General features: G+C 57.9%; 1 protein-coding gene across 25 annotated transcripts in view, besides 1 other annotated feature; it reads right to left on the bottom strand.

The window, feature by feature from the left end:
- SMARCA4 (SWI/SNF related BAF chromatin remodeling complex subunit ATPase 4) overlaps positions 1-16,831 on the bottom strand; it is a 101,244-nt gene that overhangs the window by 26,819 nt on the left and 57,594 nt on the right. For 15 of the 25 annotated variants that reach the window (XM_047439249.1, XM_047439247.1, XM_024451661.2 and 12 more), the window contains 12 exons: positions 16,432-16,498; positions 15,754-15,864; positions 13,488-13,730; positions 11,824-11,937; positions 11,017-11,124; positions 9,947-10,033; positions 9,109-9,155; positions 7,505-7,671; positions 4,562-4,725; positions 1,938-2,165; positions 1,255-1,332; positions 323-541 (listed from right to left, as the gene is read on the bottom strand). In XM_047439249.1, coding sequence (XP_047295205.1) covers positions 323-541; positions 1,255-1,332; positions 1,938-2,165; positions 4,562-4,725; positions 7,505-7,671; positions 9,109-9,155; positions 9,947-10,033; positions 11,017-11,124; positions 11,824-11,937; positions 13,488-13,730; positions 15,754-15,864; positions 16,432-16,498 — 1,633 coding nt within the window. Of the gene's footprint in view, positions 1-322; positions 542-1,254; positions 1,333-1,589; positions 1,689-1,937; positions 2,166-4,561; positions 4,726-7,504; positions 7,672-9,108; positions 9,156-9,946; positions 10,034-11,016; positions 11,125-11,823; positions 11,938-13,487; positions 13,731-13,891; positions 14,006-15,753; positions 15,865-16,431; positions 16,499-16,831 lie in introns of all 25 variants that reach the window. The other 10 variants (XM_011528198.2, NM_001128844.3, XM_024451658.2 and 7 more) reach the window with 2 other exon arrangements.
- Positions 6,811-7,311: an enhancer, noted in NCBI's record as "H3K4me1 hESC enhancer chr19:11138820-11139320 (GRCh37/hg19 assembly coordinates)". NCBI's record gives its function as "activates a minimal SCP1, AML or CMV promoter by ChIP-STARR-seq in naive H9 embryonic stem cells {active_cell/tissue: H9 hESC(naive)}" and the evidence as "EXISTENCE:reporter gene assay evidence [ECO:0000049][PMID:30033119]".

The following is a 16,831-nucleotide window of genomic DNA, read 5'->3' as shown; positions in this document are numbered from 1 at the left end:
CAGCAGTCCACTGAGATCAGCAACATGATTTTTAACCTCGGGAAGAGGTAAACCCTTTTACTTGAAAGACCAACCATAACCAGCAGCAGGTTTTGAGCTGCTCAGGAACCGTGGGTCCTTCTTGCATTCCAAGGCAGAGCCAAAAGGACCTGACCATCCCTGGCCCACATCGGAAGGCTCTCGGCTGCCTGCGGAGCCTGGCCAGGAGTGGCCCAAGGAAAGCATTTTGGACCCAGGCCTGAGTCCTGGCGGTGGGCCCTTTGTCTCCCCAGCCCTGCCTGGCGCTGGCCTGCGGCAGCTGCTGGGCCTCTCCAGCATGTACCTTGAGCCACTGCTTCTCCGTCAGTGAGTCGCTGTAGTCCACCTCCTTGCGGTGGCGGGAGCCACGGCCGAACATCTTCTCCTCCTCCTCCTCACAGGTCAGCCGCTCCACCTCCGCGTCGTCCTTGATGATCCACGAGGGGAGCTCGTCCTCCTCCATGAGGCGCGGCTTCCGCTTGGGGTTGCGGGCCTCCTCGCGCCTGCGGTCCAGGTCCATGCGCTGGTGGGCAGGGAGGCAACGGGAGAGGCATCAGCATGCAGGCACCAGGGGCACGCTAGAGCCAGAACACCGAGAGTTCAGAAGGGCCTTTCTCTGCCCGTGGGGCTCCACGCTGCTGCGAGAGTTAAACAGTAGCTCTCGATTTTTCAGTGGCTGACCTGGCCTGGCTCCGTCAGACCCTGACTAGAGGCTCTGCCTCAGGAGGCAGAGGAAACTCGAAAAGATGGAAGGTTGCACAAGAGGGCTGCAGACCCCAGCAGGGGGGCAGCAGCTGCGTGGCCCAGCGTTGGTGGAGGCATGAGGCCTGCGGGCCAAGGGGCCCCTGCTTGGGTGGCTTATTTCCTGTTTCCCACCCAGGGGCAAGGGGGCTCTGCGACTGAAGGCCTGGTCAGTCCCTTGGCCTTGGATAGGGCGAACTCCCTCTGAAAGGGAGTGCATGAAGCCCTGGAGAGCCCGTTAGAAAACAGAGCTGGTGGGGCAGGTCTCGGGTCACATGCAGAAGGCTGGGTGTGCATCTCGCCCTCCGATGCCATCCTCAGGAGACTGGGGGTGGAAGACGGGTCAGTCTGGAGGTGGGAGTGGGCTGCACTGTGAGCTGTCCCTGGCTCCCTGACCTGCTAGGGATACCACCATGGGCACTAGGACGTCTGCTTTGCTCCTGGTGGCAGCAGAGTGGGATGCCTGAACTGCCCCATCCAGCCTGCAGCGCTTACCATGAACAGATCAAACTCCTCCTCGTGCCGGGCGATCATCTGGTTGACGGTCTCGTCGTCGGGCACCTCGTCTTCCTCCTATAAGATTGCAAACTGTCAGTGCCGCTGAGGAGGGGCCGGGGTGGGCGGCGGCCGAGCTCAGAGGCGAGCGGCGGCGTCCGTGGGAATGAGCTGGTGGTCCCGGCACGGCTGCGGTGGATGGGGACCCACACGGCAGCGAAAGGCACACACACGCACACGCACACGCACGCTCCGTGGGACCAGGGCCCTTGCTGGCCGTCTCAGCCGAGAAGCCGAGGATTGAATGGGCATGGAGACTGAACTACCCCTCTCACCTTTAGAGGTGGCTCCTCCAAGTCGGGGTTGACGCCCGCTGGCGGAGGGGCAGTGTGGGCGAAGCTGGCACTGCCGCTGCCCGTGCTGCAGTGTCTGCTCTGTGGATAAATAGAGGACTTCAGTCTCCAGGGCTGTCAATCCGGCGTCTTTCACCAGCAGTTTAGAAAAAAAAACCACTTCAAAGAAAAAGCAAGTACTCATCCTCTTTCCGTTCAGCCCACACTCCCTTTACTCCAAAGGGATGCAAAAAAAATAAGAGTGCAAAAAAGGTAAAAAAACAAAAATGAAAGCCGCTCACGCGTCCACCATTCACGCTGGGGAGGGGTCGGGGCCGGTGCTGGGCTCACCTCATCCTGCTCCTCGTGCTCCAGGATGGCCTGCAGGAAGGCGCGCCGCTCATGGCTGGAGGACTTCTGGTCGAACATGCCGGCCTGGATCACCTTCTGGTCCACGTTGAGCTTGTACTTGGCTGCAGCTAGGATCTTCTCCTCCACGCTGTTGACGGTGCAGAGGCGGAGCACACGCACCTCGTTCTGCTGCCCGATGCGGTGGGCTCGGTCCTGCGCTTGCAGGTCCTGGGGGAAGAGGTGCCAGTCAGTCCCAAAGGAGCCCAGGAGGTCATAAAAGGGAAGGTGGCCTCTGACACTAGCTGGAGAGGTGTGCTGTGCGTGCCACCCTCGGCCTGACAATTCTGCCCAGCCTGACCTGCCGCCGCATGAAAACAGAGCTGGTGGAGCCTGGGCCGCCATGTGTCCCTCGGGGGAAGGGGACTCTCATCACGTTCCTCCAGAAGTGCCACCTTCTACCTTATTGGGACCCCACAGATATTCGGGAAGAAAGCACCAACCCCCCAGGGGATTATATTCTCAAGCAGCTCCCGTGGCAGCGGCACAGCTCCCCACAGCGTGGACCTACACAGTCGAGCACCATTTACAACAGGGGGCCGAAGCTCGGCCGTGTTGTGGCAGTGCTTGGTTTGGCTGTGGGCCCTGCCACTCTCACAGTGCACACAGAACCGGAACCAGGTCTCACCTCTGTGAGCCTCAAAACTCCCTCAGCCTACATGGGGCCCAACCCGTGGCTACTGCATACCTCGAATGAGTGAATAAGCACCAGGAGTGTGGCCCAGTGACTGGTGCAGTTAGCTCCCAACAATGCAGGTGCCGTGGATGGGCTTTTTTTCTTTTTTTTTTTTTTTGAGACAAAGTCTCGCTCTGTCGCCCAGGCTGGAGTGCAGTGGTGCGATCTCAGCTCACTGCAACCTCTGCCTCCCGAAGTTCAAGCGATTTTTCTGCCTCAGCTTCCTGAGTAGCTGGGGCTACAGGCATGCACCACCATGCCTGGCTAATTTTTGTATTTTTAGTAGAGACAGGGTTTCGCCATGTTGGCCAGGCTGGTCTCGAACTCCTGACCTCAGTTGATCCACCCACCTCGGCCTCCCAAAATGTTGGGATTTCGGGTGTGAGCCACTGCGTCCAGCCTGGGTTGTTAGTTTTATCATCACCCCAGCACAGTACGAGGAGGCTAACACGAAATCCTGTCTCTGGGCCCAGGAGCTGCAGGACCAGGGTGAGTACCAGTGATGCTCTGAAACTTAAGACTGGCACCCATGGGGTGGCAGAGGCCACAGCTGGTGGGGACCAGGAGTGCCTTGTGTCTGCCGCTCAGCCCTCCTGCCCTGTCAGCACACTTCCTGGCAGGGCCAGCCCTCCCCAACGCGCCCCCAGCCCTGAGGTGCAGCTTCCGCCTGCTGCCGGCCTGCCAACGGGGACACACAACTCAACCACCTCCTAAGAAACTGGCTGGTCACCAGGGTCTGGGCAGAAGCTACACCCCAGCCTGATCGTAAAAGGGGCCACCAGTGACCACCACGGCATTCACCCATCAGACAAGCGACAATTTACACACTGAGAACGCTGCTGCCCTCACGCTGCAGGGAAGGGCAGGGTACATTCACACCCCAGCGTAGGAGTGAAACCACTTTGGCAGTAGCAACCAGAACACGAAGAGGACAATGTCTGGGGTGGAGCGACCCCATGTCTGAGGGCTGCGCAGACCTAGGGTGTTTGCACAAGCACTCTGAGAGAAAGAGGGACCCTGCTGGGTTGGTGACCAGGCTGATCAACAGAAAAGACGGATGCCTGCCAACCAGAGTTTGAGAGCAGACGTCCAGGGGTGGCCATCTGCCGGGACGCCTGGTGGCCGATTAGATGGCTGGGTAGCTTCCGATGTGCACTCGGCGGTTGACACCCACTGCTTGGTGGAAGAGGCACATGCTAGGCCACGCCGCATCTGTGTTAATCTCAGTACATACATGTGCGAAGGCAGATGGGCTGGCAGAGGCTCAGAAGAGAGCACGGTTGGAGAGGAAGGGAAAAGGGACTCCTGACTGTCACTGGTGTTTACATGTTAAAAACAATAAGAACTTATCAGTCTTATAATGAAACACAGAGAAAAGTTTAACTCATTTTCAAATTCTTGTAGCTATGTAACAGCATGACCTGGTATCCACCGATGCCGAGGCCCATGAGGGGTACATGGTTATGGAACAAGAGGAGGAAGTAAACGAAGTGGCATGGAGTTTACCCCCAATTGTGTCTGAACAAGCGCCAGTGTGTGTGCTCACAGGGCACACTGCAGGGGCCGCCCCACAGTGACGGCGCAGATTGATCAGGATACTTTCCACCTCCTCATGGGTGCCATTCCAAGATTTAAGAAAAACCAAACCGACGGATGGCTTATACACTGCTTTCCCAATCAGAGGGAAAGGCTGTTTGTATTTTGGGAAACAGGAGGACCCCGCCTCTTTTCTCCCTGATGACCTATGGAGATATGGGTGCAGCTCCTCCCGGCTCCTGGGGTCCAAGACAATGTGGAGGAGGCTGGAGGACCCTCAAGCCAGGGCCGTCTCCTCGAGGTTTTGCAGGCACCCCCTTCCTTCTCCTCGACCTGGGGCCCGGCCCGCTTTTACCTGGTGAGGATTCCAGTCGCTGTCAAAAATGATCACAGTGTCTGCCGACTGGAGGTTCAGGCCGAGCCCCCCAGCCCGGGTGCTGAGCAGGAAGATGAAGTACTCAGAGCCGGGCTCGTTGAAGGTTTTCAGCAGCATGCCCCGGTCCTCCGCCTTCGTGGTTCCTGACGGGCACAGAGGAGAACAGGGTCAGCGGGGTGACCTCAGGGGTAGAGTGGGGACACCAAGGAACACCTGCTTCTGAGAGCAGGAGCAGGATCAGCACCTGCCAGCATCCCCAGATCCCTGGCTCCGCACTCTCCACACGGGCCTGTGGGCCACTGGCGAATAACTGGATTTCCAGTGTTTCACCACAAAACGTCTCTCCACACATCCCAGAAATGAAAACAGGCCCCGCTGGGAGAACTAGAGGAGGTGGGCCTGGAGCACAGAGTCCAGCACCCAGCCCACAGCTAGGCCACAGCGTCCAGCGTCAGCACAGCCACCACCACCACAGCCCTGGATTCTCTCCTCTACTCTACCCTGTGCCATTCCATGGGGAGCGGAAGACACAGCGGCCAATGCCGGCAACACCGCCGCTCGCAACACAAGGGACCTGGGGGTGGGTGGACAGTGACTGTGGGTGCACCTGCCTTCAGCCCTGTCTCAAAAAGTTTTGTGGTTCACAAAGAGAATCTTCTACGGTAAAAGCATGGAGACCTTATAAAGGGGGCTCGTGTCCTTTCTGGCAGGATCAGTGTCCCCATGCCCCAGAAAACCCAAGTCAAGGAGCCAGAGCAGGTCTCCTGGGTGACAACCCACGATGCCCTCAGCGTTGTGGGCATTAAGGCAATGTCAACACTCCCTGCGCTGCTGGGAGTTCGGACAGAGGTGCCCCTGAACACTGAAGTCATTTTGGTGATGAAATAAAAACTGGCAGGCCGGGCGCGGTGACTCATGCCTGTAATCCCAACACTTTGGGAGGCTGAGGTGGGTGGATCGCCTGAGGACAGGAGTTCGAGACCAGCCTGGCCAACATGGTGAAACCCCGTCTCTACTAAAAATACAAGAAAATTAGCTGGGCGTAGTGGCGGGCGCCTGTAATCCCAGATACCAGGGAGGATGAGGCAGGAGAATCGCTTGAATCCAGGCGGCGGAGGTTGCAGTGAGCTGAGATCATGCCACTGCACTCCAGCCTGGGCAACAAGAGTGAAACTCCGTCTCAAAAAAAAGAAGAAATAAAAACTGGCCATTTCCTGCCACCAGCCTACACATGCCCAGGCACGGTGCAGAAGCCCACAGTAGCCTGGCCATCCACCTGCCGTCCCACCCTCTCTCAGGCACCAGATGTGCCCCTGCTACTCCAGCTCGGAGGAGGGGCTGAGGTGAGGGGCCACCCGGCTCCCAGATGCCAGCCCACCCATGGGAGATGCAGTCTCAGGAGACTTCACTGAGCTCCTACCCTTCCTCTACTCGCAATGGATTCTCTGGCCCTGTGGCCATGACCACATCACATGCAGAGGACACATCTGTAGTTCAACTGACCAAAGTCCTTGTCCTTATGGAGTAGGCAGAAGGGCACTGGGATGGGTGGGAACCAGGCTCTCTCCTGGGGGAGTCAGGGACACGACACAGACGGGATGGCCCTCAGGAAGCCTTGGCCCTCTCGAGGACGGGAGAAGCCGCTGGAGAGACCGTAGGAGAGGAAAGGGTGGGGGGTGGCCCGGCCATGAGGACCCTGAAGGATTTTGGTTTTCAGCCTCAAAGCTGAAAGTGGGAAGCCCCCAAGGAAGAAGGCAAGCCGGGGAGACCCCTGCAACAGACTCGTGTCTGTAGAGTGGTCCTGGACAGAACCCCGGGGAGGACCTGCAGTTTGGAGGGACACACAGGGCACACTCCGGGTGGCACCTGGGCAGGTTGGCCCAGCAAACACAGGTCCAAGTGATCAACGGGACAAGGGGTATGGAGGTCTGGGGTGTCCTGCTGTGAGACAGACCTTGCACAGGAGCTTCAACAAAGGCTCTGGGAGGTCGTGTAGGGAACAACAAACTGGCTGAGCCGTGTCTGTCTCAGCAGCTCATGCTCGTGTTTCTCGTAAGCCCAGTTCTAGTAACTCCCACGAAGAACTCACTCCAGGGCTCCCTGACCCACTGGGACTGACAGACATGTCTCACGTGCCCTGTCGGCATCTCACAGCCTCTCCTCCCTGAGCTCCCGTGTGCTGGGGCAGGCAGGCGCAGAAACACAGGCGGTGACCTTTCCCATCAGGGACCGCAGGGCAGGGGGTTGGGCTGAGAGCCTCTCTACGGCAGCTGCTGCTCCTGCCTGGCAGTGCTTGCTTCCCTCCCTCCGTGCTCACCACAGAGTCTGATTCCAGGTCCAGGCCTGACCTGTGGCAAGGTGGCAGTCACTGGGCTGCTACGAATGGCCCAGGGATGGGCATGCGGCTCACAGCAGCTAAATGAGAGCCAGCCTGGGACCTGCCTTTGTTGGGGACACTGAGCAGGTGGAAAGGAAGCCAAGATGGAAGAAGGCAGAGCAAAGAGCTGGAGAAAAGTCTCTCCAATATCACCTGCATGCCTGGATCCAGCTGTGCCTGAAGGATGTTTAACCTCCTGGGGTTAGAGCTATGTAAGCCTATTGGTGCTTTCTTTCCTGTGTCCACATGGTATGGAATTCTGTCACTTCCAGCTAAAAGTGCACAGGGCACCCCTTCCCCAGTGCGCCCAGCATTGTCGTGGAAAGACTGTCAGCCTAGGAGTCAGGACACCCGGCGTCCAATCCACGGCCTGTCCCAGTGCCGAGTGCCCAAGATGCTCAGCCTGTGGCTAGGCCCACTCTGGCCACTGGACCCAGAGCGCCTGGGCCTCACCCTGCCTCACAGGAGGGAATGCCAGTGAGGAGCTTCTGTGGCAGCCACAACAACAAAACCCTGTAAGAAACGCCTCACTGGCTCATACTCACCATCAAGCCTGAGGTATTTAAAGCCGCGATACGCAAAGTAATCTTCCATGATGGTCATGAGGGAGGTCATTTGGCAGAACAGCAGCACTTTGTGGTTGGTTGCTCGGAGTTTGGGAAGAATTCTATCAAGAAGCTCAAATTTACCCGAGGCTCGGTACAGGTCCAGCCTGGAGTGTGGAGGAGGCAGGAGAGAAGGCGCAGGATGTTAAACCTGGAACCCTGCAGGCAGGTAAGGCAGGAGGTGCATCGCCCGCCTCCAGGCCAGGCGCCGGGTTCAAGGGCACAGACATGCATCCTAAGCAGACGTCACCCACCCAAAGCTTCAGCAAAGCCATTTCCCCCAACTGAAATAAGCCCGGCCACCCTCGCTGGGGAGGCGTATCACCAGGGTGGCACATGTATTTCTCGTCAAACCCAGACACTCATGAAAATGAGAGGAGCTGTGAGTCACATGGCCGGCACAACACGGGGCTGGAACAGGGATGCTCCGGGAAGCCAGACCTTGTCCCCTTGCCCGATAAAGAAGCCCCAGGAGCAAATGCCACACTGGAGACACCCATGCTCTGCTAGACCCAGAAGGAAGGGCCACCTCGGCTTCTCATGTTCTCTCCAGCCAAACCCCAAGTGTTGTAGATGTGGACACTGAGGCTGGCAGGGGGACGACGTGATATGGCTGACCACATGTCCAAGCCAGGCCTCCCAGCCTTGAAGCCAGGTGTACAGGACCCTGTTCCACAACTCAGTATAAAAAAACACATCAAAAAGAATTTGTGATGTTTTCATTAGGCGCCTCTCTTCTTGCAAATGGCTTACTACCCCAGGGGAATTGAATGGAGGCTTTAGCTGGAAGAATGCTTTTAGCAAGGTTCTTTGCAATGGTGAAAATCTAGACACAGCATCCACATCCATTAGGGGCTTAAAGGAGTCTGGGCTGCCCCTTACAAAGGGTGCTATAGAAAACACCCACATGATGTAAAGAGTGCCTCTGTACTAGTGAGCAGAGTTTAGGCTCAGAGAGGTTAAGAAAGCTGTCTAGAGTCACAGAGCTTGGAGGCGGCAGAGTGGGATCTGTAAGCCAGGTCTGCCTCAGGAATCCTGTCTCTTGGGGTTAATAGTGGTCAGCTCTCCAAGCACTAAAGATTTGTATAATGGGGCCGGGCGCGGTGGCTCACACCTGTAATTCCAGCACTTTGGGAGGCCAAGGCGGGTGGATCACTTGAGGTCAGGAGTTCAAGATCAGCCTGGTCAACATGGTGAAACCCCATCTCTACTAAAAATACAAAAAATTAGCTGGGTGGTGGCAGGTGCCGGTAATCCCAGCTACTCGGGAGGCTGAGGCAGGAGAATCATTTGAACCCAGGAGGCAGAGGTTGCAGTGAGCCGAGATTGTGTCACTGCACTCCAGCCTGGGCAACAAGAGCAAAACTCCACCTCAAAAAAAAAAAAAAAAAAAGATTTGTATTATTTGCTTTGGATTCTTCTGTATTTTCTAATTTTCTGCCTTTGAAATTGGACAACATAACAGCAGCAATAAAGCCAACAAAACGACAGAAAACCTCTGGGTGGACCACCTGCCCACCCCATCCAGTTGGGAAGCTTCTCACCCTTGGACAATGCCGCCAGTGAACCCCAAGTGCTCGGAAAAGGACTCCTGCAAGGCAAGGAGAGAGGGGTCAGTGACAGGCAGGAGCAGGCCACCGGGCCCCGCTGCGGTCCGCACACACCGCTCGTGCTCAGAGGACAAAGCCCCCACACTGTGTGCTCGGCACGGGCCCACGGCGGCTCTGAGACCAGACACAGATGCCAAAACCATCTTTCTTAGTCCACTGACATCCTTTCCCTCACACTCCTCCAACGAAGGAAAGGACATCCCATACAGCACTCTTCACACCCTGAATGCACGAGGACGTCATGGGGCCACAGCCACGCTCAGGGTGCTGAGACAGCCCCAGGGGCTCTCGGGGCAGCAGGCGGTCTCCAACGACCCTGACACTTTACACCAAGAAACACGAACATATGCATGCTTCTAAGAACCCAGATTCTCAAAGCCACCATGACCAAAAAGGGTTCTGACTCCCCCACACTTCACTGAAGACGGTGGTGACTCTTGACGCCCCGCAACGTGAGAAAAGCCAGTGAGCCAAAGAGACGCAGCAGGACCCCACTGTGGGGGGACACATCCCCAGAGAAGTCTCCAAACGCTCCTGCTCTCTGAGGGCAAGCTTTCAGGGCCCTATATTCCTATCGCACGTTGCGCCCTAACTGCTGGGATTCTTCCCGTAAGCACTGGTGAAGCGAAGACCAAATGAGAGACAGATGTACAGGCATTACCTAATGAAAATATTCGAGTCTGTTTTTAAAGAGCTGTCGAGGAGAAGCCAGCTCTGCCTAGGAGCTCAGCAGACAGCAGGGCCTGAGCCGTCCCAGCCGCGGCGGGCTCACCTCGATGTGCTGGAACATGTAGGGGTGGTTGCAGATCTTCCGCAGCTGCATGATGGTGTTCATCAGGGTCTTGGTGCCGCCTTTGCCCTGGAAGGCAGATGAGAGGGACCCAAATGGGGTCTTGCCCTCCTGGGGTGGGGTGGGCTTGGTGGATGGGTGGGTGTTGGGAGAAGGGCCATGGGGACGCTCTAGTGGGGAAGAGTGGCTTTTGGCACAGCAATTGGGAGTGAGGAGATGGCAGGCTGGAGGCCCGGAGGCCCCCAACAAGCCCTGGGAAACAAATGACTGCCTGGCACAGCAGAGGGCAGATGGCAGGGACAGGGCCAGCAGGACGGGACGGAAACAAGACTGGCAAAGGGCTGAGGCAGAGTCCCCGATGCTTTGTGATGCCAGCTTTGTTCTGGGCACTGTTACTGTGGGGGTCCCTAGAGGGTCTCAGCTGGGCAAGAGGGCCTCAGCCGGGTGAGCCATGACTCAGGGCTCCCTGGGCTCCAGGATGAGGAAGGAGGTGGGGGCGGGGCGGGGGGTGCATGCTCTGGGCTGGGAATGGACTAGGGAACACACTGCTGCTCAGCTCAGGGGAGAAGGGGCACAGACACAACGTCTCGGGGAAGCCAGGCCGAGGTCAAGGCCTTGGGGGCAGAATCAAGGGGTCTGGTGCATTTCCTGGGAGGATAATTTCACTGCTGGTGAGGAGAGCCAGGCAGGTGGGGCCTGGGGCCTGGGATTCTCAGAGCAGCCCCTGCAGGAGACAGCCCGCTCCCTTCCTTTCACTTAATAACAGAGAAGGGGGGCATTCTAGAACACTCTAACCCTGCTGGGGTTAGTGCTGGGCCCAGGCTGCCAATTGCAGAAGGAGCCAGTGTTTCATAGGCAAAGGAGAAGCCACTGGCAGCTGAGTCAGTGTGTCCTGACACAAGCCACCAGCCATCATAACCAGGGCTGGCCAGATGCCCTGGGGATCATGACCAGATCATGACCCGATGGTCAGAGCACGCTCTGCTCTGCCTGCCACGCTGCCGGCCTTGGACACCCAGTGGGGAATGCAGTTGGGGGACTCTGGGGCCCACCTTCTTGTCCTTCTCGGAGCCATCAGTCAGCAGCACGCCCTTGGCCTGCATGTGGCGGTAGAGCACTCGCTGCAGCGCAGACATGTCGCACTTGATGACGTACTCCACCTGCAGGGGACACATAATGCTCACGAGGGCCCAAGGTGGCTTGAGGCCTGACTCCCCCCATCCGAACCCAGCTCTGACCCCCTCGGCCCTGTCATATGAGCTCTGACCAGAGCACACTGGGGTGTGGGTGAGGAGACCCTCACAGCTGGGGAGAAGAGGGGAGACCTGGGCAATGAGAGGAAGCACCAGGCAGAGATACCAGAGGGTTACTGGGCCAGAAAGGGCCCCCCAGCCATCTTCTGGGGGCCTCTCTACAGCCAGCCAGGAAACAAAGAGCCAAGAGGGACAACTGCAGCCGGGGACCCCGAGTCCATGGGTCTTGCTGTGGGAACTGGGCCCAGGGGTGTGGCTGCAGCAGGCCTTGAAAACCCAGAGCCATGATGGGGGGCCGGGGGGCAACCCCAAGCCCACGGCCCCTCCTGATGTGGCCAGGAGAGCCCGCACAGGCACCTGGCCCCCTGACAGGAAGTGGGATTTTGTGCTCTAACCTATTGTGAGCTATGTGAGCCTATGAGTGCTTTTCAATCCCTACAACAGCAGCACAGGGCTTTACAGACCCAGTGGCGTCATCGCCACCCCCAAGCTGGATTGACCAGGGCAGGCCTGGGACTGTGGGGAGAGGCCCTGAGCACGCCCAGCCCTGGAGAAAGCCCCCACGTGAGGCTGCTTCACTGGTGGCTCCCCTCAAAACTCCATCACCTTTTCGGGCAACTGGGCCTCGACTTCCTTCTTGAGTCGTCGGAGCAAGAAGGGCCGCAGCACTTTGTGGAGACGCCGGATGATGAGAATGGTTTCCTCCTCATTCAGGTCCACCTGGAAGCCCCCAAGACAGGAGAAGCAAGCGTTACCTCCAAAGGAGGGCGACAGAGGTCTCACTAGAAGGTGCGGATGTGGGGACAGGGTGGACGGGGTCCCCTGGGGTGATCTTGCCCTTGGCACGTGGCTTTTCAGCCTGCTTTATGCTTTCTGGGAGCCAGGCAGGGCACCCTCTTCCTTAGGAAACTGTGAGGATCTGGTTCCCTCCATGTAATTCCTGGGACATGGAACCGCAGTACCCAGAGCACTCTGCTCCCTGTGCCTCACCAGAAAGACCCCCGGCAGCGGGCATGCTGCTTCTCCACGAGTAACACAAACTGGAGTGTCCACAGACCCACCCCACGCCAAGCTCATGCCAGGAGCGCTGCAGGGGCCAGGCTGACCACATGGGGCTTATAGCGGGTGATTCTCAGGGAGGGCTCTGCCACCGGGAGCCCCAAGGGACTCTCATTCAGCCTGGGTGGAACCAGGTGAAAGAAACCCTGACCTCCCACGGCGCCTACTCCTCTACTAATAATTAACTTTTAAAATGTTTTAATTAAAAAAGTTAAAGGAAAATGAGACGACGCCAAAACTTTTCTTCTATTGCTTCCCTGGCAATCCTTTGGCAGAGCTTTTGCTCGGCTCAGAAAGTGACAAAACTATAGCATCAGATCCTGGCCCTTAGTGTGGGGGTCCCGGGAGTCTAAAAATTGGGGACTCCTTTATCACGAGGCTTTGGGGAATGCCTCGGTTTCGCCATCAGAAGAGTCTCTGCCTTGACCAGCAGCCGAGAGGGCAGGGAACTCACGCATGAGGCCAGGAAGGCCCCAGCTGCCCTGGACCTGTCTAAGGTGGGAAGAAGGGGGTGGGCCCAGCCGTGCTGGGCAGGGCACTTCGAGGTAACCTCTGTAGTTCTGCCCACACTTCAGCATCTGGTTACTTAAACCCCTCAGCAGGAAACACAGTCTGTCCCACAGTTTCAACCTCCAACAGCAAGGAGCTCTAGGCTCAGGGATCAGTGCTGGTGTGGGACCACTCATCAATGATGATGCTGCCATGCCACAGTCTGGCTGATGGTGCCACCCAGACATTGAGACACACTGGCCACTGAGCTTTTTGAAAACAACGTAAGACAGAACCTGACCATGTGGCCCCGCTAACTGGAATCTTCCAAGTTTCCTTCCCACTGCCCTGAGGGTGAGTTCTGAGGGCACCTAAAGGGGCCTACAGCACGCTACAGCCTCTAGCTGTGCTCTCCACACGCTTGCGGTCCCACAGCTGCCTCAGGGCCATCTTCCTCACCATCCACTCTGCACCTGGAGCATAGGGTCAGAGACGCCCCGAGCATTCCGAGATTCACCACCATGACCTCTGCCCTGCTCCCCTGGGGCCCTTGTGGCTGCCCCAGCCTTGGGTTCCAGGGCTCCCCTGCTCCATGCAGATGCAGACTCTCACCAGGCACCCAGCACAGGCCCAGCCAGCTGTAGCTGGTGCTCAACACGTTCCAACCAGCAAAGCCAGCCGCACCTGGAACCGTCAGCATGGGCACAGCTGGGCAAACCCACCTTTTCCCCGGTCATGGCAAAGGGTGCGTTAAACCACTGCTCGAAGGTGCTGCAGCTCTTGAAGATGGTGGGCAGCAGGAAGTTGAGCAGCGCCCAGAGCTCGGGAAGCTTGTTCTGCAGCGGTGTGCCCGTCAGCAGCAGGCGGCGGGGTGCCACATAGTGCGTGTTGAGCACCTGCGTCAGCTTGCAGTGGTGGTTCTTCATGCGGTGACCTTCGTCCACAATCATGTACTTCCAACGGATCTGCGGGCCCCAGAGTGGGCAATCAGGGCAGGGGGCAGCAGGTGGCCCGGCACATGGGGAGAATCTCCCACTCTGCGCCCAGCAGCCAGGAAGGCTCCAGGTGGAAGAGCGCAGCTGGGTGGAGAGCACAGGCCTGACGTCCTGCCCCGGGGCTGACTCACCGAGTTGGAGCCACACAACGTAGCCTCTTGCAAGCCTTGGGCAGAGACAGGCCCGTGACCCCATGACTATTGGCAGGTGAACAATGCAAATTGCAAAAAAGCAATCTGGCTTCCCTGCAAAATCACACATATGAATCTACAGCACAGAAAAATGCCGAGCACGTTCTGGCAGAAGACACATCTTGCTGACTGGGGGACTTGTCCTGCTGGTGTGGAGGGTCTCAGGGGAACTGGGTTGGTGACGGTACATTTCTAATGAGCAGCCTGTGGTTCAGAATGTGGGCCCCATGGGGTAGGGGCCAGCGCCACTACATACAGGGCCATGCGGGTCGGGAGGGGGCGCAGTGGCCGCACTCAAAGAGCACTCCCACTGCAGGGTGATTACATCAACTGAGCCACTGGCAGGGGAGCACGGGGTTTCAGAGCCTGGTTCCTGTGCCTGCCAACGGCCTGGCTTTGTAAGGAGTCAGCAGGGGTGAGCCACAAAGGAGGCACCTGAAGCATGGACCTGAGGTAAGAGCCTGCACGTGGGATACCCAGCTCCCTGGGCCTCAGTTTCCTCCCTTGTTGGCTCCGGGATAAAGCACCCAGTCCTCGGAAGGCTGAGGCAGGAGAATCACTTGAACCCAGGAGGCAGAGGTTGTTGCAGTGAGCTGAGATCGCTCCACTGCACTCCAGCCTGGGTGACAGCTGTGAGACTCTGTCTCAATAAAAAAAAAAAAGAAGAGAAAAAGAAAAGAAAACACCCAGTTCACAGCCCCAGTATTCCAGTACTGTCACTCCAGCCATGCACTGAGAGGCGGAGCCACCCATAAACAGCTCCTCCATCCCCCCATACCTGGGTCAAGAACTCTACTGTTAGGCCAGACACAGTTGCCCAGTGCTTTGTGAGGCCAAGGCGAGAGGATTCCTTGAGGCCAGGAGTTTGAGACCAGCCTGGGCAGTACAGCAAGACCCCATCTCCATAAAAAATAAATTTAAAAAAGTTAGCTGGGAGTGGTGGCGCACACCTGTAGTCCCAGCTACTCAGGAGGGTGAGGTGGGAGGATCGCTTGAGGCCAGGAGGTCAGGCCTGCAGTGAGCTGTGATCACATCACTGCACTCCAGCATGGGCAACAGAGCGAGACTCGGTCTCAAAAAAAAAAAAACCAAAACGCAAAAAACTCTCTACTGTTCAACACTCACTCAGCTGGATGTTTAGGGGTGAGACCAGGTACATCTTTACCCCTCCTCAAATGAGGAACATGAGTTTTTGGAGGCAGAGGGCTATGTCTGTTTTCTATCTGGGCCGTATTCTCAGTCATGGCCACGCTGGGACTCCCTTCACAGTTTCGTCCCAGAAGAGGCTTCCAGGACAGTAGGACCCTCACAGAACAGCCCGAACCAGCTGCCCAAGGCCAGCAGGCAGTCATGGTATTTGGCCCTCGAGCTCTCCCCCACATGCTGAATCTCAGCCCATGGCCTGTGGTGAGAAGCCAGGGCCCCAGGGAGGGACGGCCAAGGCAATGAGACAGGAGGACAAGACTGGTCTGGCCAAGGCCCCATGGGGACTCTGTAGGCGGGTCAGGAGACGCCTTGGTGCTGAGGCTCTCTGGGCAGAAGGCCCGAGAGGAGGCAGAGCGCATGCTGTGTAGATGGCCCCAGCTTCTGGGCCTGACTCAGGGCCTGCCTGGAGACAGTTAGGGAGGTAAACCTGAGGTCGCCCCCACCTAGGCCTTTCCCCTACACAGGGCAGCTGTCTTCACGCACATGCAGGTGGGACTCCGGGAAGAAACTTGTAGGGGCTTTGGAGGAGACGGGCAGCGTGACCCACGTGTGAGCACTCGGCCCATGGCCTGGCATTTCCCACAGGGACACGTTACCTTGGCGAGGATGTGCTTGTCTTTGATGATGTACTCGTACGTCGTCAGCAAGACGTTGAACTTCCCACTCCGGAGCTGGGGGACAAAGGCCCGTCTTGCTGCTGGGGATCCCTGCAAGGGAAGCAGGATGCACAGCTCGGCTTTTGGAGCCGGGTGGCCAGGTGGCAAGAGGGGCACAGGCACCCCCTGCAACTGCCCAGTGACACGGCGGGAGGGCTCGTCCTCACAGGGGTAGTGGGGAAAGGGGCTGGCAGGGCCGCTGGCGCGTCCCCAGACCTCACCACGCAGAACACGCGCTGCAGGGGGAAGAGGAAGCAGTGCAGGCCAGCGGCGGCCGGGGCCTGAGGGAACCACGCAGCCTGCACCGCCATCTGCACATTCCTGGTGGCTGACAGGCTCCCCTCTTCCTGGGTCCCCATCTCAGGCGCCTGAGCTGGCCTCTGAGTGCTGGCCACCATGCTCACTCCTGTCTCCTCCCCAGTGAGCTAATCTGCCCTGTCCCTGCCCAGTCCAAACTCCCGGATCCATGTGACTGGAGTTCCAGGCTGTCCTGGAGACTCCATGCGACTGGAGACCCAGCATTCTCAGGTTCACTGTCCAGAGGTATGTGTGGACGTCCTGCCCACCACCGCCTGCACCTCCGTAGCAAGAGAGGAAACCTCAGTGGCTGTGACCTACCTTGTAAGACACCTTCACCACGGAGGGGGCCCACTTGTCAAACTCGTACGCCCAGTTGGACAGCGTTCTGATGGAACAAGGAAATGAGAGTCAAGTGCCGGTCTCTCATCAATGGCTCACTGTGCAAACCCATAGCCACTGGCTGTCAGGGGCGAGGCCAACATGGCCACAGCCCTCCGAGTGGGCAGAGAAACTGTGTTTAGGGCAGCTGAGGGAGGGAGGGAGGAAGAGAGACTGGCGAGGACGTGAAGGGCTCTGCCTCAGAGGACAGAAGGGAGGCCACTGGGAAAAGAGGGCAAGGCCCTTTAGAGTGAGAAGTAGGGACACAGAGATGTGATGGGGGACAGAAACAATGCTGCCAGGGCTGGGGAAGCCTGGACCTGCTGCCGGGAAAATGCAG

The sequence above is a fragment of the Homo sapiens genome, chromosome 19 (assembly GCF_000001405.40).
Source record: "Homo sapiens chromosome 19, GRCh38.p14 Primary Assembly".
NCBI classification, from domain to species: Eukaryota; Metazoa; Chordata; class Mammalia; order Primates; family Hominidae; genus Homo; species Homo sapiens.
The sequence above is the reverse complement of the archived record's forward strand: the minus strand, read 5'-3'. Positions and strand labels throughout refer to the sequence as shown.